Below are 22,337 nucleotides of genomic sequence, written 5' to 3'. Positions count from 1 at the left end.
TTTACCCCACCTTTTCACTCTCAAAAGTGTCCCAGTTTGAATATTAAATTATATAACAAAATCTATGCACATTAAGTATAAAATGCAGCTCAAAGCACTCAAGGGAGAATTAAAGGATAAACAAAAGAAAAAAAAGGAATAGTTTAAAACCAGAAAGCAGAAACCAAAGGAAGGGCTAACTAGAACTAGTGATAAAGTCCTTGTTTTGAAAATAGGGAAGGCTGGCCGGGTTCAATGGCTCACAGCTGGAATCCCAGCACTTTGGGAGGCCAAGGCGGTGCATCACCTGAGGTCAGGAGTTCGAGACGAGCCTGGCCAACATGGTGAAACTCTGTCTCTACTAAATATACAAAAATTAGCCAGGCATAGTGGCGTGCACCTGTAATCTCAGCTACTCGGGAGGCTGAGGCAGGAGAATTGCTGGAATCAGGGAGGCGGAGGTTGCAATGAGCCAAGATCACGCCATTGCACTCCAGCTAGGGCGACAACTGCGAGACTCCATCTCAAAAAAAAGAAAGAAAATAGGGAAGGCTTTCAGTTGACTTACATGGGACACTAGCAGGGTTCCTAGTTGTACAAGATAGTACAGATGTGTTTCCCGGACTTAAAAACTATGTTGTGAAGCTGAGAAGAAACTGGAACAGACAGTCTGTGAGTCAAAAGAATTGGAAGTGGAAGGGAGCTTAGAGCTTAGAGTAGAATAAACCAATAAAGTGGTGATAGTTATTGCTAACGAAAAGGTAAAGAAATCATCAAATAGGAAAAAAGGCAATAATTATAAAGTATATTTCCCATTGTAAGCATAATAAAGCTCATTATATCAATGTGAACTTATTTGATTATAAATATAATTAGAACGATAATCTTCTCCCAACCCAGAAATTCTCTCCATAAAGGTAGTAAAGAAAGCACTTTTATTATTGAATAAACATTAAGCCAGAATGTGAGGTACATCACAGGTAATCCATTAAGAGATTCCAAAAACAGAAAGTAATCATACCCCCTTATATCGCCCAGCAGATACAACGCATTACATACGTGTTTTCAAGATAAATAACAATTTCTCAGGTAAGACAACATGACAGCCCTATTTGCAAACATCATTCATCCTAACTTTACCTGGAAATTGAGGAGATCGTTCCTGTTAGCTAATTGACCTTGTCCGGGGAAAAACAAACTTCTCGTATTTTTATGACAGAAGGTAGTTCTGGAGCCTGGCTTCCACTGAAGTTAGATTCCTGTCCTCCCACAGAAACTGGGAGATTAAGGATGCTATCTCCCTCGTTGTGTACATTTCAATGGCATTGTTCCTAGATTATTGAGAGAGACCTTCCTGGGCTGACAAAGGGCCTATCTAGTCTTCAAAATGATTTATACACATTTTAATGAACCAAGAGAGTACAGTGGGCTCTCTGTATCCAGGAGTGTGCATCTGTGGATTCAATCAACCATGGATCAAATATATTTGGGGGGAAAAAAAACATTCCACAAAGCTTCAAAAAGCAAAACTTCAGTTTGCCATATACCAAGTACTACATTCAGTCCATGCAAAGGAAGTGATATGTAGACATTGTATTAGGTATTATAAGTAATCTAGAGATGCCTTAAAGTCTTCAGGAGGATGTGTGTAAGTTACATGCATATACTATGCCATTTTATAGAAGAGACTTGAGCGTCTTTGGATTTTGGTATCCCAGGGGTCATGGGGAGCCTGGAACCAATCGCTCACAGATACTGAGGATAATTATGTTTAAAATTAGAAGCTTTCTAGAATAAATTCTCTGATAAAAAGAAGAGAAGGAAAATCTTTTATTTTCAGCAGGGAGAATTATGCTTCTTATTTTAAAATTTTAATTGTCCTTACAAAACCTACAAAAAAAGTTGAGAAAATTCAATATTACCTATATCTGGATTAGCATTTTTGTATATTTTCTTACATTTTATGTATTATGTTGGTTTTTTTAGCTTTTAACATACAACATATACAAAATTTTATGTCTCACTTTTTTTCTTAACATTACCCCATGTTATTAGTTTAATATCACTTTAATGGCAGTATTTTAATGATTGTGCTATATTTCATGTTATATGATAGATGACATCTTGGTAAATAACATATTTTCTTTTTCTTTTTTTTTTTTTTTTTTTTGAGACAGAGTCTCACTCTGTCACCCAGGCTTGGAGTGCAATGGCACGGTCTCGGCTCACTGCATCCTCCACCTCCCCGGTTCAAGCGATTCTCCTGCCTCAGCCTCCCGAGTAGCTGGGACTACAGGCGCATCCCACCACACCCGGCTAATTTTTGGGTTTTTTTGCTTTTTTTTTTTGAGACGGAGTCTTGCTCTGTTGCCCAGGCTGGAATGCAACAGCGCGATCTCCGCTCACTGCAAGCTCCGCCCTGCAGGGTTCATGCCATTCTCCTGCCTCAGCCTCCCGAGTAGTTGGGACTACAGGCACCTGCCACCACACCCGGCTAATTTTTTTTTGTATTTTTAGTAGAGACGGGGTTTCACAGTGTTCGCCAGGATGGTCTCGATCTCCTGACCTCCTGATCCGCCTGCCTCAGCCTCCCAGAGTGCTGGGATTACAGGCGGGAGCCATCGCGCCCAGCCAGTTTTTGTATTTTTAGTAGAGACGGGGTTTCATCATGCTGGTCAGGCTGGTCTTGAATTCCTGACCTCGTGGTTCGCCCACCTCAGCCTCCCAAAGTGCTGGGATTACAGGCGTGAGCCACAATGCCCAGCCTTTTCTACTGTTTTCTTTTGAAACATTATCAGGAATAGGATGTGTGAGTAAATAAACATTTTAAAGCTTTTGATAGGTAGAGGAAGAGGACATGGTCTTTGTCTTCTTTCTCCTCAGTTGCAGACTCATTTTTCTCTCAGTCTTCATAATTACATTGTCTGATTTAGAGTGTGATTACATTAATGCTAGATCATGTTGCTCAAAATTAAACAAGTGGGTAATTTCCAAGATTGATTGGCCATACTATTGTCACTGTATTATGCGCATTTTGTTGCATTGGTTCATATTCCTTCTCAACTTACCTCTTGCCACTTGGAATATATATTGATTCATTATGGTGCCAAGCAGTAACATAGGAGTGTTTGATCCAACAGAAATACACAATCAAGGATAGCAAAAGTAACACATGAAAGACCATAATCAAGCTTAATTTCCACTTGCTCTGTTTTTTCACGTATCTTTAAACTATGGTTTTAGCTTCGATAAATGACTGAAGCTGGAGAAGCCATGGTTGAAATCAACCTACACTTCAGTGCACAGTTGAGGAGCCAGAGACTAAAATCATCTACAGAACCACAACAATGGCAGTATATCTTTTCTTCTTTGAACAAAAATCTATTTTTGCTGTCTTTTTACCGTATAAAGTTTTTTTGTTTTGCTTTGGTTTTTTTGTTTGTTTTGTTCATTGGTTGGTTATTTATTTATTTATTTATTTATTTTGAGACAGAGTTTCGCTTTTGTTTCCCAGGCTGGAGTGCAATGATGCGATCTCAGCCCACCGCAACCTCTGCCTCCTGGGTTCAAGCAATTATACTGCCTCAGCCTCCTGAGTAGCTGGGATTACAGGCGTGTGCCACCATGCCCAGCTAATTTTTGTATTTTTAGTATATAGGGGGTTTCTCCATGTTGGTCAGGCTTGTCTCGAACTCCCAACCTTAAGGGATCCACCCGCCTCGGCCTCCCAAAGTTCTGGGATTACAGGCCTGAGCCACTACGCCCAGCCTAAAGTATTTTTTAAACATGAAAATAATAAAGATTTTGATAGATGTTGCTGAATTGCTAAACCTTATTTAAATAACTGTATGTTTTATCCAATAGTTTTTCTCCTCCTTGTTAATCAAGCAATTGTAGAGTTTTAAAGTAACTTTAACAATTCCTTCTTCTTCCAATTAAATAGCCTAAAACATTCAAAACCAGTAGGCAGCATGAAACAAATATATATCCTTGTTGTTCTTTTTTCTCCCTGTTTAGGAGGAGCCCAACACCCTCTGCCCTCACTGGAAGCACAGTGAGCCATCACTAATAATTCAGTAGCAGATATAAAACGTAAGGGAAGAAAGAATACTGAGTGATTCTCAGGTTGCCTTCAACTCTGCTTTAAAGCCTTGAACATTGGTGATAAATTTTATACTCATATAGAGAAACAATTTCCTCAACCCCATAAGAATAACAGAAAGGTGGCTTTTTAAATAATCTAGTTGACTGTATTACATATTTTTCTTGCTCTACTCCAGACTGTCAGGTTTGCCCTAGATACAGAGTAAAGTAAACCCTGGAGACTACTAACCCAAGTCCCTGAAGCAGCCACTGATGTCCTGTGATCAATGGATACAAAAAAATAAATAAATAAAACAGGTCCCTAAAACAAAGTATCCTTTCTCTTTTTCCACTCCATCCTCAGCTTTTTCACTTTTGTAGCTGTTTAAAAGATCTGAGTAAAGCCACTGTGTTTTGATACACACCCAGCCTCTGGTAGGTTAAATTACAAGTTGGTCTGCGGTCAGAGAGACTCAAAGCTGTGTCCTAACTTTCAAAGATGAAAGTGCATACGAGCTGGCATTTGATCCAATTCAGTATTGATTTTACAGCAGACAGATGAAAAAGAGAACTGTACATTTTTTTAAATTAATATACAGAATATATAGCTCTTGTAACAATGGTTATGTTTTAAATTACCTAAAATCTGTAATTAACAACAACAAAAATAATTAAGCCCTATCTTCACATATTACTAACCAATGAATAAGATGTCAAATATGAAATAATCTGAAAGCATTTCATCACTGTTTCAAATCTAGTTCATCAATTGACAAATATTTTTGTTCATATAGAATAGAAAGGACACTTGGCCAAGCATACTGGGGAAACAAATTATAAGAAGTATACAGCACTCTCAAAAACTTTAGAATAATGGATGGAGAAATAAGGTAATATAAATAATACATGGTATTGAACAGGAATTATAATGATACACCTAATATTTCCATAACTTTCTAGAGTTTACAAAGTTTAACATTCACATCAGCTCTGCAAATTTGGCATTCTTGTCACAATTCAATGGATGACTAAATTGGTATTTAAGAAAACTGCACAAGCCAGTTGTGGTGGCTCATACCTGTAATCCCAGAACTTTGGAAGGCCAAGGTGGGCAGATCACCTGAGGTAAGGAGTTCAAGACAAGCCTGGCCAACATGGTGAAACCCTGTCTCTACAAAAATACAAAAATTAGCCAGGCATGATGGCAGGTGCCTGTAATCCCAGCTACTCAGGAGGCTGAGGCAGAAGAATCACTTGAACCTGGGAGGCAGAGGTTGCAGTGAGCCGAGATCATGCCATTGCGCTCCAGCCTGGGTGACAGAGCGAGACTCTGTCTCAAAAGAAAAAAAAAAAACTGCACTTGCTCAAGATTTCACTCCTTCACTTCTGATCTTCTAGACATTTAATTTTTTGGAATTTGATCTTGGTATCAAATTCATTATTTTGAATGTTCCAAGAAATTAAATGTCTAGAAGATCAGAATTGAAGCATGACTATACCAAGGGAGCATTCCTGACAGATGCTGGATTTGTCTCGGCCTAGGGGCATAGATCATGCCAAGTGCAGAAGTTTGTTGGCAAAGGCATGGCAGTGGGAATTCCTGAGGCCTCTCTTGAAATCTGGAAGACAGTGAGTGGACCATCTTGCCTGGAGGGGAGGCTTCCAATGAGGCTGGGATAGTAAATATAAAGTTATATACTTTATTCAGTACCCCAGTGGGTACCTAATGAAATTTGGAAAAAGGGAATGATATTATGTCTTTGAAGAAAATGACAGTAGGTTTCAACAGGTAGATGAGTCAGAAGTGTTCTTCATATTTTTAAATAATTTATGCCTGGGAACCTAGGACTGCCTCACCATGAGACCATAAATGTTCAGACCACTAATCTTGGCAAGATTGTTATAGGTATCTTCAGCTGTCAAAATTCACTCATGGATGCTCAGTAGCTAAAAGATATACACTTATGGAGGAGGGGCGTTCCAAGATGGCCGAATAGGAACAGCTCTGGTCTGCAGCTCCCAGCGTGATCAACACAGAAGATGGGTGATTTCTGCATTTCCAACTGAGGTAGCTGGTTCATCTAATTGGGACTGGTTGGACAGTGGGTGCAGCCCACGGAGGATGAGCTGAAGCAGGGCAGGGCATTCCCTCACCCGGGAAGCACAAGGGGTTTGGGGATTTCCCTTTCCTAGCCAAGGGAAGCCGTGACAGACTACCTGGAAAAACGGGACATTCCCACACAAATACTGTGCTTTTCCCAAGGTCTTAGCAACCAGCAGACAAGGTGATTCTCTAACATGCCTGGCTTGGCAGCTCCCACACCCACAGAACCTTGCTCACTGCTAGTGCAGCAGTCTGAGATCAATCTGCAGGATGGCAGCCTGACTGGGGGAGGGGCATCTGCCATTGCTGAGGCTTGAGTAGGTAAACAAAGTGGCCGGGAAGCTGGAACTGGGCGGAGCCCACCACAGCTCAACAAGGCCTATTGCCTCTAGACTCCCTCCACCTCTGAGGGCAGGGCACAGCTGAACTAAAGGCAGCAGACAACTTCTGCAGACTTAAATGTCCCTGTCTGACAGCTCTGAAGAGAGCAGTGGTTCTCCCAGCACAGTGTTTGAGCTCTGAGAACGAACAGACTGCCTCCTCAAGTGGGTCCCTGACCCCCATGTAGCCTAAATGGGAGACACCTCCCAGTAGGGGCCAACAGACACCTCATATAGGTGGCTGCCCATCTTGGACGAAGCTTCCAGAGGAAGGAGCTGGCAGCAATATTTGCTGTTCTGCAGCCTCCGCTGGTGATATCCAGGCAAACAGCATCTGGAGTGGAACTCCAGCAAACTCCAACAGAACTGCAGCTGAGGGACCTGACTGTTAGAAGGAAAACTGGCCAGGCGCAGTGGCTCAGGCCTGGCATGGTGGCTCATGCCTGTAATCCCAGAACTTTCGGAGGCCAAGGCAGGCAGATCACGAGGTCAGGAGATTAAGACCATCCTGACTAACACAGTGAAACCCTGTCTCTACTAAAAATACAAAACATTAGTCAGGTGTGGTGGCAGGTGCTTGTAGTCCCAGCTACTAGAGAGGCCGAGGCAGGAGAATGGCGTGAACCTGGGAGGCGGAGCTTGCAGCGAGCCGAGATCGCGCCAGGGCACTCCAGCCTGGGTGACAGAGCGAGACTCCAACTAAAAAAAAAAAAAAGAAGGAAAACTAACAAACAGAAAGGAATAGCATCAACCTCAACAAAAAGGTCACCTACACAAAAACCCCATCTGTAGGTCACCAACATACCAACATCAAAGACCAAAGGTAGATAATACCACAAAGATGGGGAGAAACCAGAGCACAAAAGCTGAAAATTCTAAAACTCAGAGTGCCTCTTCTCCTCCAAAGGATTGCAGCTCCTCGCCAGCAACGGAACAAAGCTGGACGGAGAATGACTTTGATGAGGTGACAGAAGTAGGCTTCAGAAGGTTGGTAATAACAAACTTCCCCCAGCTAAAGGAGGATGCTTGAACCCATCACAAGGAAGCTAAAACCCTTGAAAAAAGATTAGACGAATGGCTAACTAGAATCAACAGCATAGAGAAGACGATAAATGACCTGATGGAGCTGAAAACTATGGCACGAGAACTTCGTGACACATGCATAAACTTCAGTAGCCGATTTGATCAAGTGGAAGAAAGGCTATCAGTGATTGAAGATCAAATTAATAAAATACAGCGAGAAGACAAGGTTAGAGAAAAAAGAGTAAAAAGAAGTGAACAAATCCTCCAAGAAATATGGGACTATGTGAAAAGACCAAATTTACGTTTGATTACTGTAACTGCGAGTGATGGGGAGAATGGAATCAAGTTGGAAAACACTCTTCAGGATATTATCCAGGAGAACTTCCCCAACCTAGCAAGGCAGGCCAACATTCAAATTCAGGAAATACAGAGAACACCACAAAGATACTCCTCAAGAAGAGCAACCCCAAGACACATAATTGCCAGATTCACCAAGGTTGAAATGAAGGATAGTGTTAAGGGCAGCCAGAGAGAAAGGTCGAGTTACCCACAAAGGGAAGCCCATCAGACTAACAGCGGATCTCTCGGCAGAAATCCTACAAACCAGAAGAGAGTACAGCCAATATTCAACATTCTTTTTTTTTTTTTTTTTTTTTTTTGAGATGGAGTCTTGCCCTATCACCCAGGCTGGAGTGCAGTGGTGAGATCTCAGCTCACTGAAAGCTCTGCCTCCTGGGTTCACACCATTCTCCTTCCTCAGCCTCCTGAGTAGCTGGAACTACAGGAACCTGCCACCACGCCTGGCAATTTTTTTTTTTTTTTTTTGTATTTTTAGTAGAGACAGGGTTTCGCTGTGTTAGCCAGGATGGTCTCAATCTCCTGAACTCGTGATCCACCCGCCTTAGCCTCCCAGAGTGCTGGGATTACAGGTGTGAGCCACCACACCTGGCCTTAATATTCTAAAAGAAACGAATTTTCAACCCAGAATTTCATATCCAGCCAAACAAAGCTTCATAAGTGAAGGAGAAATAAAATCCTTTACAGACAAGCAAATGCTGAGAGATTTTGTCACCACCAGGCCTACCTCACAAGAGCTCCTGAAGGAAGCACTAAACATGGGAAGAAACAACCGGTACCAGCCATCGCAAAAACAGGCCATATTGTAAACACCATTGATGCTATGAAGAAACTGCATTAATTGATGGGCAAAGTCACCAGCTAACATCATAATGACAGGGGCAAATTCACACATAACAATATTAACCTTAAATGTAAATGAGCTAAATGCCCCAATTAAAAGACACAAACTGGCAAATTGGATAAAGAGGCAAGATCCATCAGTGTGCTGTATTCAGGAGACCCATCTCATGTGCAGAGATGCACATAGGCTCAAAGTAAAGGGATGGAAGAAGATCTACCAAGCAAATGGAAAGTAAAAAAAGCAGGGGTTGCAATCCTGGTCTCTGATAAAACAGACTTTAAACCAAAAAAGATCAAAAGAGACAAAGAAGGCCATTACATAACGGTAAAGGCATCAATGCAACAAGAAGAGCTAACTATCCTAAATATATATGCACCCAATACAGGAGCACCCAGCTTCATAAAGCAAGTCCTTAGTGACCTACAAAAAGACTTAGACTCCCAAACAATAAGAATGGGAGACTTCGGCACAGTGGCTCTCGCCTGTAATCCCAGCACTTTGGGAGGCCCAGGTGGGCGGATCACGATGTCAAGAGATCAAGACCATCCTGGCTAACACGGTGAAACCGCGTCTCTACTAAAAATACAAAAAATTAGCCGTGCGTGGTGGCGGGCACCTGTAGTCCCAGCTACTCGGAAGGCTGAGGCAGGAGAATGGCATAAACCCGGGAGGCAGAGCTTGCAGTGAGCCGAGATTACGCCACTGCACTCCAGCCTGGGTCACAGAGCGAGACTCCATCTCAAAGAAAAATAATAATAATAATAATAATAATAATAATAATAATGGGAGACTTTAACACCCCACTGTCAATATTAGACAGATCAACAAGACAGAAGGTTAACAAGGATATCCAGGACCTGAACTCAGCTCTGCAACAAGCAGACCTAATAGACATCTACAGAACTCTCCACCCGAAATAAACAGAATATACAATCTTATCAGCACCACATTGCGCTTATTCTAAAACTGACCACATAATTGGAAGTAAGGCACTCCTCAGCAAATGTAAAAGAACAGAAATCACAACAAACTGTCTTTCAGACCACAGTGCAATGAAATTAGAACTCAGAATTAAGAAACTCACTCAAAACCACACAACTACATGGAAACTAAACAACTTGCTCCTGAATGACTACTGGGTACATAACTAAATGAAGGCAGAAATAAAGAGGTTCTTTGAAACCAATGAGAACAAAGATAAAATGTACCAGAATCTCTGGGACACAGTTAAAGCAGTGTGTAGGGGGAAATTTATAGCACTAAATGCCCACAAGAGAAAGCAGGAAAGATCTAAAATTGACACCGTAAAATCACAATTAAAAGAACTAGAGAAGCAAGAACAAACACATTCAAAAGCTAGCAGAAGGCAAGAAATAAAAACTAAGATGAGAGCAGAACTGAAAGAGATAGAGACACAAAAACACACTTCAAAAATTCAACAAATCCAGGAGCTGTTTTTTTGAAAAGATTAACAAAATGGATAGACCACTATCAAGACCAATAAAGAAGAAAATAGAGAAGAATCAAATAGATGCAATAAAAAAATGATAAAGGGGGAATATCACCACCGATCCCACAGAAATACAGACTACCATCAGATAATACTGTAAACACCTCTATGCAAATAAACTAGAAAATCTAGAATAAATGGATAAATTCCTGGATACATACACCCTCCCAAGACTAAACCAGGAAGAAGTTGAATCTCTGAATAGACCAATAACAGCCTCTGAAATTGAGGTAATAATTAATAGCTTACCAACCAAAAAAAAGTCCAGGACCAGATGAATTCACAGCCAAATTCTACCAGAGGTACAAAGAGGAGCTGGTACTGCTCCATCTGAAACTATTCCAATCAATAGAAAAACAAGGAATCCTCCCTAACTTATTTTATGAGGCCAGCATCATCCTGATACCAAAGCCTGGTAGACACATAACAAAAAAAAAGAATTTTAGACCAGTATCACTGATGAACATCGAAGTGAAAATCCTCAATAAAATACTGGCAAACTGAATCCAGCAGCACATCAAAAAGCTTATTCACCATGATCAATTTGGCTTCATTCCTGGGATGCAAGGCTGGTTCAACATATGCAAATCAATAAATGTAATCCATCACATAAACAGAACCAACAACAAAAACCACATGATTATCTCAATAGATGCAGAAAAGGGCTTCCACACAATTCAACAGCACTTCTTGCTAAAAACTCTCAATAAACTAGGTATTGATGGAACGTATCTCAAAATAATAAGAACTATTTACCCACAGCCAATAGCATACTGTATGGGCAAAAACTGGAAGCATTCCCTTTGAAAACTGGCACAAGATAAGGATGCCCTCTCTCACCAATACTATTCAACACAGTGTTGGAAGTTCTGGCCCAGGCAATCAGGCAAGAGAAAGAAATAAAGGATATTCAATTAGGAAATGAGGAAGTCACATTGTACCTGTTTGCAGATGACATGATTGTATATTTAGAAAACCCCATCATCTCAGCCCCAAATCTCCTTAAGCTGATAAGCAACTTCAGTAAGTCTCAGGATACAAAATCAGTGTGCAAAAATCACTCCTATACACCATTAACAGACAAACAGAGAGCCAAAGCATCAGTGAACTCCCATTCACAATTGCTACAAAGAGAATAAAATACCTAGGAATCCTACTTACAAGGGATGTGAAGGAACTCTTCAAGGAGAACTACAAACCACTGCTCAACAAAGTAAATTAGGACACAAACAAATGGAAGAATATTCCATGCTCACGAATAGGAAGAATCAATATCATGAAAATGGCCATACTGCCCAAAGTAATTTATCGATTCAATGCCATTCCCATCAAGCTACCAATGACTTTCTTCACAGAACTGGAAAAAACTACTTTAAAGTTCATATGGAACCAAAAAAGAGCCCTCATTGAGAAGACAATCCTAAGCAAAAAGAACAAAGCTGGAGGCATCATGCTACCTGACTTCAAACTATACTACAAGGCTACAGTAACCAAAACAGCATAGTACTGGTACCAAAACAGATATATAGACCAACGGAACAGAACAGAGGCCTCAGAAATAACACCACATATCTACAACCATCTGATCTTTGACAAACCTGACAAAAATAATAAATAGGGAAAGGGTTCCCTATATAATATATGGTGCTGGGAAAACTGGCTAGCCATATGTAGAAAGCTGAAACTGGATCCCTTCCTCATACTTTATACAAAAATTAATTCAAGATGGATTAGAGACTTAAATGTTAGACCTAAATCCATAAAAACCCTAGAAGAAAACCTAGGCAATACCATTCAGGACATAAGTATGGGCAAGGACTTCACGAGTAAAACACCAAAAGCAATGGCAACAAAAGCCAAAATAGACAAATGGGGTCTAATTAAACTAAAGAGCTTCTGCAAGGCAAAAGAAACTACCATCAGCGTGAACATGCAACCTACAGAATGGGAGAAAATTTTTGCAATCTACCCATCTCGCAAAGGGCTAATAACCAGAATCTACAAAGAACTTAAACAAATTTACAAGAAAAAATCAAACAACCCCATCAAAAAGTCGACAAAGGATATGAACAGACACTTCTCTAAAGAAGACATTTATGCAGCCAACAGACATGTGAAAAAATGCTCATCATCACTGGTCATCAGAGAAATGCAAATCAAAACCACAATGAGATACCATCTCATGCCAGTTAGAATGGCAATCATTAAAAAGTCAGGAAACAACAGATGCTGGAGAGGATATGGAGAAATAGGAAAGCTTTCACATTGTTGGTGGGAGTGTAAATTAGTTCAACCATTGTGGAAGACAGTGTGGAGATTCCTCAAGGATCTAGAACTAGAATTACCATTTGACCCAGCCATCATCCCATTACTGGGTATATACCCAAAGGATTATAAATCATGCTACTATAAAGACACATGCACATGTATGTTTATTGTGTCACTATTCACAATAGCGAAGACTTGGAACCAACCTAAATGTCCATCAATGATAGACTGGATTAAGAAAATGTGGCACATATACACCATGGAATACTATGCAGCCATAAAAAAGGATGAGTTCATGTCATTTGCAGGGACATGGACGAAGCTGGACACCATCATTCTCAGCAAACTATCACAAGGACAGAAAACCAAACACCACATGTTCTCACTCATAGGTGGGAATTGAACAATGAGATCACTTGGACACAAGGCGGGGAACATCACACACTGGGGCCTGTCACGGAGTGGGGGTTGGGGGAGGGATAGCATTAAGAGAAACACGTATTGTAAATGATGAGTTGACGGGTGCAGCAAACCAACATGGCACATGTGTACCTATGTATCAATCCTGCATGTTGTGCACATGTACCCTAGAACTTAGAGTATATTTTAAAACAAAGATATACACTTATGTCAACTCTTTCTTTGTAGCAGTGCCCAGAAATTCAAAGAATTGTTGTTGTTGTTGTTGTTGTTGTTTTTAATATAAGAAACTTGGGTCATTATCATCTCTAGTAAATAGTCTCTGTATTCAAGGACCTCAAACATTTTCTGAAGAACAGTCTTGTTTCCCAAAGGCCTTGAGATAACCAAGAAACCGGGAAGAAGCATGGCAGAGAGGAAATGAATGAGATAGCAGTAACAACTGGTTCATACTCTGTTAGGGTGGGGCTTTAAGACTTACCAATAGGTGAGATCTTGTGTTAGAAAACATTGCCTCTTTATCTTTATAGATCAGGGCTGAAATCGTTATCTTCAACCTTGCTGAGACAACATAATAAAGGCCACGTCACTAGTATTTTCTTCAACAGACCTTGGTCCTACTTCTAAAATTCTCTGGCACTGAAGTGTAAGGAGAATCTATGGATTTGAAGAGATCACTAAAATGGTTTTGATGAATATTATACCAATTACTTTTATAAAATATATGAAAGCAAAACACATTAGGATAATCTGCATTCTGAAATGTTTTCAATGCTTAAATAATTAGATATAAACATTGAAGCCATATAATATAAAATGACTCTTAATTATTCCTTTCCTTCCATTTTCTGATTCCATATTTCTTGATATTTTTCAGGACATAAAAAATTTATTTCTTCTTGTATGGATCTTATATAGCTTGGTATGATTGATACCCATGTGTTATGACAATAATTTCTGTGGCATTAAAAGACAGTAGTCACTGCACCAAGTCAACCTACATTTATTGAGCCTCTGTACACACTATCATTTTGAACATCATAGAAAACTGGTCCTTTGCCTTCAAGTATAAAAACTGGCTACAGACAGAAAATATACATGCTTTGAATCCTTTCCAAAGTTAGGAGGTTGGTGAGCATAAAACAATATTGTAATAGCACAAATTAAATACATACAGGTAAGATATAATCAGAGTGAAAATGACAGACTAGACAGAATGAGTAATAATATATCTGATCACAGACAGTATCCATATCCCAGCCAGCAGATAGAGATTTCACAAGGTCCCATTGTCTTGGGATCCCACAGATAAACTAGGATTCCAGTAGCAGAGTGGCTAGCAACCCTGCCCCACTGGCAGCCCTGCTAAGATAAATGAGGGGGAGTTGGACGTGGGTCTTTCACCTAGCAAAGAGCATAATGTCTAGTTGTTTGACCAATGACAAGGGGTTCCTCACATGGAAAACTTATTTATACTGGAAGACACTCTTGTGGCTCTTATCTGACCTGTGTTTAGTGTATGCCTACCTAACCATCATTCTGGGGCTGAGAGGTCAACTGTGTGTTAGTCCTGACATCCCAGGGAAAACCCAGCCTGCAGTTTGGTTCTTGAGAATGGAAGGAGCAAATTCAAACCACCACCAAAATAGGAAGTTCAAGGATTTTTACTTTCAGAATCTGGGCAAGAAGGGTGCGATGAATCTGGAGGGCAATCTTCCATCCCCTGGCACAAGAGGAGAACATGAAGAGTTAGGTATTGAGAAAGAGTGTGTGTGGCAACTAGCAGGATAGACAACGGACTAGGCTGTAGGTTACTAAGTTCACAGGCAAATGCCTATATGGTCTGTTTAAAGGAAGCAGTGGGAAAGCAGGGAGTACAATCTGCTAGCGGGGGAGACATCCAGAAGTTCTTAGCTTTGGCCATTGGCTTGAGCCATTTGGGCATGGTATAGAACTGCAAACTGTTTCAAGGGTGACTAACCCCTGATTCTAGTATGAGGAAGTTAAACTTATACTCAAAATGGATGCCAAGGCAACATAAAATTATAAAAATTCACTACACCCAGGCTTTGACATGCCCCAGTCTCTGATCTAGAAGAAAACAGCTCATCTTTAGTCACACTAATTAAAACCCTGGTGACATTGCCAACCCCAGGAAAAAAAATAAAAATAAAACATCTAATTCAGAAACCCAAAATAATCAGGAGGATGAAGAAATTTCTCTAGATTCACTGAAATGAATAAGAAGATTAGCAATTTCTTTAATAAACTAAGATGTTCAAAAAGATGTTATGCCCAACCATCAGGAAGTAAAAGGCCTCATTTATTTTGACAACTATTTATCAAGCACCTGTATGTGTCAGGCACTGTTCTAAGGTCTTGAGAGACATGACCATGAACAAAACTGCTCAGATACCTTCCCTTGGTGCTTATTTTCTACCAGAAGAGGTACTGAAAACAATACATAAATAAAAGATACAGAATGTCAGATGGTATGTTGGAAAATGAAACAGAAAGAGATAGGGTATGCTGGGGTGAGGATTCCATTTAAAGAGTGATTAGAGAGGACTCCCTCACTGAGAAGAGGATATTTGGGCAAAAACCAGGAGGAGGTGAGGAAGTAAACTCTTTTGGTATCTGTGGAAGAGTGCCCTAGGCCAAGGGTGTCTAATCTTTTGGTTTCCCTGGGCCACACTGGAAGAACTGTCTTGGGCCACAGAAAATACACGAACACTAATGATAGCTGATGAGCTAAAAATAAAAGTCACCAAAAAAAATCTCATAATGTTTTAAGAAAGTTTATGAATTTGTGTTGGGCTGCATTGAAAGTCATCCTGGGCCACATGCAGCCCACGGACCATGGGTTAGACAAGCTTGTTTTAGACAGAGGAAATAGCAAGTTAAAACAACCTGAGACAGCAATGTGCCTAGTGTGTCAGAGGCACAGCAAAGACTCCAGTGTGGCAAAGGGTGAGCAAGAGAGACAGAAATAGAAGCGAAACTTGAAAGGTAATAAGGAACCAAGTTGTGTAGGGCCTTGTAGGATGTTTTAAGGACTTATGCTTGCACCCTGAGTAAAATAGCCATTTCAGGGTTTTAAGCAAAGACATGGCATGATCTCACACAGGGTTTAAAGTGATTACTCTGCCATGTTGATAATTTTTTAAAAAAATCTAAACATATAATTTTTGTCTGCCTCTTAAGCCAGAAGTTTATAAAAATACTATATATCAGTTGAAAAAATAAATGCCTTGTCCTTAGTGTGCAAAAATGTGACTAATTCATCCTCATTTGGGCATGTGGCAAAAAAATGGTACAAGTTGGAACTGACCCATCTATCCTCTGTAACCCTGCCACCCGTACAACCAGTTGTACACACTAAGGAAACAGCTGGTCAGGATTAGGAAGGTAGAACAATAGGAAGGTGTGGGTGGCAGATGCTTCTCATCTCAAGTGCAAGTTCAACTACTGATCTGTCCTCCTTCTCCTACTCAGATGAATACCAGCTTCCTCTCGAGTACATTGATGACATTTTTATCAATAAAAAATAAAACTTCTTTATTTCAATTACTTTCTCTAAAAAATATTGCTTCAGTCATCAGAATAAAATGCAAAATCCCAACTTTGACATCCAAGGCTTCATCAATACAGCTCTGTTCTTTCCCACATTTTTTATCTTTCCTTAACACAGACCACGGGCTTCGGCCCAACTGAACTGCTATTTTCTACTTCTTTGCTCATGCTTTTGCTCCACTTAAAAGGCTTCCTGGCTCCCATTTCCTCTGGTCTAAATCACACCCAAAATGAGGAAACAAAATACATTTGAAAGAGCAAGAACTTAGAATGAGAAGCCCTGAGATACTAATTGTTTGGGATGTTTGTTTGTTTGTTTGTTTGTTTTGAGATGGAGTTTCACTCTTGTTGCCCAGGCTGGAGTGCAATGGCGCCATCTCGGCTCACTGCAATCTCTGCCTCCTGGGTTCAAGCGATTCTCCTGCCTCAGCCTCCTGAGTAGCTGGGACTACAGGCATGCGCCATCACGCCCGGCTGATTTTGTATTTTTAATAGAGACAGGGTTTCTCCATGTTGTTCAGGCTGGTCTCGAACTCCTGACCTCAGGTGATTTACCAGCCACCTTGGCCTCTCAAAGTGCTGGGATTACAGGTGTGAGCCACTGCACCCGGCAGAGATACTAACTGTTAAGTGTGAGTCACATCACTTGAACTTTCTCAGCCTCTTTCCTTATGTGCTACTACCTACCTTGTGGAATTCGTTATACATCAAATAGATGATATAAGTGAAAGAACCCATAGATTGAAAAAAGACACTACACTAGTTTAAATATTTATTCATTAAAAGGGAAAAGGTTGAAAATAATTATAGGTTATGTCAGACAATATTCAGGAATAAGAAGGCATGGTGATAAGTGTTGTCAGGAAAGAGGATGAGGGCTCCTGGAGTCTCTTATCCAATTGTACTTGGTTGTAGGGTGGAAAGAAAGAAATCAGGCCTGCCCCTAACATTTGTGGGGCTTAGGGCAATAGTACAAAAAGAGACCCATAATCTATATGTCACCATCATAGCAACAAAATTGCAAAATATGTGTAAACACTATGGTTTTTATATGACTGAAAGTATGCAAAATACCAAATTTGACTGAATTCAATTACTGTTACACATATCAGGGTGTTTTGTTGATAGACAGGTGATGTGATGAGTAACACAATAAAGATAAATTTAATGAATAAATTATCATACATTTTATAACATTTATTTTTTATATCTTTAGCAAAACCACTAATGATGTGCTATACATGTAAAATACACACAAATTTTTGAAGACTCACTACCAATAAATGAGAATGTAAATTATCTCATTAATCACTTCTGTATTGTTTAGATATTGATATAATTTTTTGTATATATTACATTAAATACAATATATTATTTAAATTATATATATATAGCCCTCATTTACTTTCATATTTTAGATAAAACTACTCAGCAAGCAGTCTAAAGCCAATTTTAGCTATTACCCCTTCTCATTTTATTTCTGAGTCAGGACACATAATAGAACATTTCTTGTAATCATTGTTCTTTCCATCCTTTTTTTGACTGGACATTAGAACATGTCAGGGGCGAGGGCTGTAGCTCAAGAACCTGCATAGGCCTAGGTTCAGTTGAAGTTCACCATTGGCTATGCTGTCTTCTGATTTCTGCCTTTTTCTTTAGAGTCACTATGAGGCAGATTTTTAGACTGGGCAGGCTGATTGGTGGGGAGGACTCTGAATTGAAATGGGCTCTGTGAACAGGAAGAGAGTGCAGCACCTTGAACCAGGCACAATCTCAGAGACCCCAGAAAATCACACCCAGAAAAATCTTCCTCCGGAAACTTGGAATACTGGAAAGAATTTTCTCCTAAAATAATGTCACATTAGGTAATGGACAGCAGCATTCAAATCACTTCCCATAAAACCATATTGCATGTTTTATGGAAGTCCTTGAGTATATTATAAAATCAGGGACATCAGAGCTCCCAGAAACAATCTTGAAACTGAAGAGGAAGCAGGACGCAGTGGCTCACGCCTGTAATCCCAGCACTTTGGGAGGCCGAGGCAGGGAGTTCAAGACCGGCCTGGCCAAGATGGTGAAACCCTGTCTCTACTAAAAATACAAAAATTAGCTGGGCTTGGTGGCGGGCGCCTGTATCCCAGCTACTCGGGAGGCTGAGGCAAGAGAATCACTGGAACCCAGGAGGTGGAGGTGCAGTGAGCCGAGATTACGCCACTACACTCTAGCCTGGGCAACAGAGCGAGACTCCATCTCAAAAAAAAAAAAAAAAAAAAAGAAAGAAAGAAATTGAAGAGGAATTGTAAATGGCTCATATTCTATCAGACAGAGCCTGATAGAATCATACCACTGGTATGAATTATTGTCTGGTCAACTCAAGCAGAGGAAGTGAGATGGTTTAAATCTGTGTCCTTGTCCAAATCTCATGTCAAATTGTTATCCCCAATATTGGAGGTGGGGCCGGGTGAGACGTGATTGGATCATTGAGGTGGATCCTTCCTGAATGGTTTAGCACCATTCTCTTGGTGCTGTTCTCATGATAGAGTTCTTGAGAGAGATGGTTGTTTAAAAGTGTGTAGCACCACCCCACTGTCTCTCTTCCTCCTGCTCCAGCCATGTAAGATGTGCCTGCTTCCCCACTCACCTTCTGCCATGATTGTAAGTTTTCTGAGGCCTCCACAGAAGCCAAGCAGAAGCTGCTATGTTTCTTGTACAGCCTGCAGAATGGTGAGCCAATTAAACCTCTTTTCTTTATAAATTACCTAGTCTCGGGTATTTATAGCAATGTAAGAATGAACTAATACAGGTAACAAATTCAGATAAGAATGGCTTAAAAATTCTGAATCTTTGTCTTTTTAATATGAATTATTTAGACTGAGGAAATAACCCAAGGATTTAGAACACTCAGGATGTTTGGGCATAGGATAGGGGTTGGGGGTTGATCACAGGGGCGGGTAAAGTAAATTTCCTTCCTGCTAGAAGGAGAGTTTGAAGAAAGGTATTGAGGCATCTGTACAGGGTGTTCCCTTCTCAAGGAACAGGCTGGGAAGCAGGGAGAGTCAGGGTCAGCAGATGCTTCTCAGCATGGCCTGGAGTAGAACAAGCATAACACTGAGTGGGTGAAATGAAAATGGTAACAGGAGAAAAGAAGGCAGGAAACCCTCTTGCTTTTTTTGTCTCCCTCCTCTTCCATTTTACCCCATAACACACACACTCTGTGGGGGAGGTATGTCCTGATAAAGAGTTTAAACACCAGGGTTGTACCCAGGATACAGTGTTGTTCTCATCCACAGAGATAAACAGGTGAGAGGACCTCCATTGTCCTTAAGAAAGCAGTAATGAGATACTTGACAGAAAGCTGATGGTAGAATGCATAAACACCCTCACAGAGGATGACCAAAAACATGTAAAGCTGAGGTGCAAAAAGGCAAGAAGTATTAATAAGCCATGAGGCCAAGCAGCCAAAGATATAACAGATACAGGAAAAAAAAAAGAAAATCAACTTTGTAAAAGAATATTGTTTGGCCAAGTGGGGAGAAACAAATAAACAATATAATTGGTCTTCTAACAGATGGGATGCAACACTCCCCTTTCTGAGCTATTAAATTTGATTTGTAGCTCTAGGCAGGTAGAAATAAAAATGAGAGGAAAAGGATCAGATCTGGAAGTCCTTTAGAACCTCATCCCAATTGGGGTTAAATGTAACAAAAACATTATTATTGGTATCAGGACCCAAATTGATGTGAACTTAGAGAAAGGCAGGGCAGTCTTCCTCCTTAAAATATTTTATATTTTAAAATTCGTGTTATACTGTCTATAACAGTCAAAGTTAGGCTGGGCACAGTGGCTCATGCCTGTAATCCCAGCACTTTGGGAGGCAGAGGCAGGAGGATCATCTGAGGTTGGGAGTTCGAGACCAGCCTGACCAACGTGGAGAAACCCCGTGTCTTCTAAAAATACAAAATTAGCTGGGCATGGTGGCGGGAACCTGTAATCCAAGCTACTCAGGAGGCTGAGGCAGGAGAATCTCTTGAACCCGGGAGGTGGAGGTTGTATTGAGCCGAGATTGTGCCATTGCACTCCAGCCTGGGCAACAAGAGTGAAAAAAAAGGCCAGGCACGGTGGCTCATGCCTGTAATCCCAGCACTTTGGGAGGCCAAGGCGGGTGGATTGCCTGAGGTCAAGAGTTCGAGATTAGTCTGGCCAACATGGTGAAACACTCTCTCTACTAAAAATACAAAAAAATTAGCCAGGCATGGTGGCATGCACCTGTAATCCCAGCTACTCGAGAGACTGAGGCAGGGGAATTGCTTGAACCAAGGAGGTAGAGGTTGCAGTGAGCCGAGATCGTGCCACTGCACTCCAGTCTGAGAGACAGAGCGAGAACCCATCTCAAAAAAAATGAAAACAAAATAAAAAACAAACAAAAAAACAGTCAAAGTTAGCCTGTTCATTACCCTTCTTTCTGTAGGGCAAAGATGCAGAAATACGTTATTTGCCTTTTTTTATTATTTATTCAACCAATATTCGTTGGCCTTTTTCTTCTAGTTAGATCACCATGAAAAATTAGAACAAAACTTTTTTAACCTTTGAACTCATCTTTTTAAATCACATAATATAAAAATAATTCATCTAATTAAACATATTTAAAAGAGATATTTGTATGAGCTAGTAACTTTTGGATATGGAGAATGTTTATTTTGGTTTTGGTTTTGTTTTTGTCCAGTCCAACAGAGCAATTTGGAAAGCTATGCTATAAGCACTTACAAGATCATGTTTTGGAAAAAAAGTTACTTGATAATAGACAAACTGTTTGTGAAAGTGTTACCAGAAAGAGGTCCCAATCCAGACCTCAAGAGAGGGTTCTTGGACCTCGCACAAGAAAGAATTCAGGGCATGCTCGTAGAGTAAAGGGAAAACAAGTTGTTTAAGAAGGCAAAGGAATAAATGAGTGGCTGTTCCATAGGCAGAGCAGTGGCAAGAGCTCCTCAGCTGCCTATACCTATTGTTACTTCTTGATTATATGCTTAAAAAAGGGTGGATTATTCATGAGTTTTCCGGGAAAGGGATGGGCAATTCCTGGAACTAAGGGTTCCTCCCCTTTTAGATCATATAGGGTAACTTCCTGACTGTTGCCATGGCATTTGTAAGCTGTAATGGTGCTAGTGGGAGTGTCTTTTAGCATGCTAATGCGTTATAATTAGCACATAATGAGCAGTGAATATAAGCAGAAGTCACTTTCTCTCCATCTTGGTATTGGTTGGATGTGGTCAGCTTCTTTACCACATGCTGTTTTATCAGCAAGGTCTTTGTGATCTACATATTGTGCTGACCTCTATTGGGATGATCAGGCCCAACACCAGGCCTTGTGGGCTACGAAGTCTGTTGGAGTCAAAGGAATGAGACAAGACAAGTTAAGAATGTGTAAAGTGGGTCCAGGGGGCCAACACTAGTATAGAGGCTGCGAAGGCTTGGAGCTCTAGAAGCCCACACTATTTATTGGTGATCAAACAAAGAAGCAGGTGGTGAGGATGTGAGGATGTGGGGGTAAACAGGTGAGGACGTGAGGACGTGGGGGTAGAAAGGTAGCAGTGCATCAAGCACAGTTGTGACTGTTTAGTATTTTCTTTGACACAAATGTAATATGTTCTGCTACCTGAGATAATGGAGAACATGTTTATGAGCCTGGGAGAGCAAGAAGCAAGGAACGAGCAAGTCTGTGCACATTCCAGTGGCCACAAGGGGTTTTATGCCCTGAGCCTTGGATTCCATCCAAGCCATGAGAGGTTTTATGCCCTG

At 40.6% G+C, this 22,337-nt stretch overlaps 1 pseudogene, besides 3 other annotated features; it reads left to right on the top strand.

Annotated features, from left to right (window-relative positions):
- Window positions 2,825-3,208, top strand: LOC100287856 (cornichon family member 4 pseudogene; annotated as a pseudogene).
- Window positions 5,946-6,750: an enhancer, noted in NCBI's record as "H3K27ac-H3K4me1 hESC enhancer chr6:127734169-127734973 (GRCh37/hg19 assembly coordinates)". NCBI's record gives its function as "activates a minimal SCP1, AML or CMV promoter by ChIP-STARR-seq in primed H9 embryonic stem cells {active_cell/tissue: H9 hESC(primed)}" and the evidence as "EXISTENCE:reporter gene assay evidence [ECO:0000049][PMID:30033119]".
- Window positions 15,424-15,533: an enhancer, noted in NCBI's record as "active region_25040". NCBI's record gives its function as "activates an Ori minimal core promoter by ATAC-STARR-seq in GM12878 lymphoblastoid cells {active_cell/tissue: GM12878}" and the evidence as "EXISTENCE:reporter gene assay evidence [ECO:0000049][PMID:35858748]".
- Window positions 21,852-22,039: a silencer, noted in NCBI's record as "fragment chr6:127718880-127719067 (GRCh37/hg19 assembly coordinates)". NCBI's record gives its function as "represses an EF-1alpha promoter that drives an FKBP-Casp9 reporter gene in an ReSE screen in HepG2 liver carcinoma cells and phorbol 12-myristate 13-acetate-treated (for megakaryocytic differentiation) K562 erythroleukemia cells {active_cell/tissue: HepG2 | K562(+PMA)}" and the evidence as "EXISTENCE:reporter gene assay evidence [ECO:0000049][PMID:32094911]".

Source organism: Homo sapiens, chromosome 6 (genome assembly GCF_000001405.40).
Source record: "Homo sapiens chromosome 6, GRCh38.p14 Primary Assembly".
NCBI lineage: Eukaryota > Metazoa > Chordata > Mammalia > Primates > Hominidae > Homo > Homo sapiens.
Note: the sequence above shows the minus strand (reverse complement) of the source record. Positions and strands in the feature narration are given on the sequence as shown.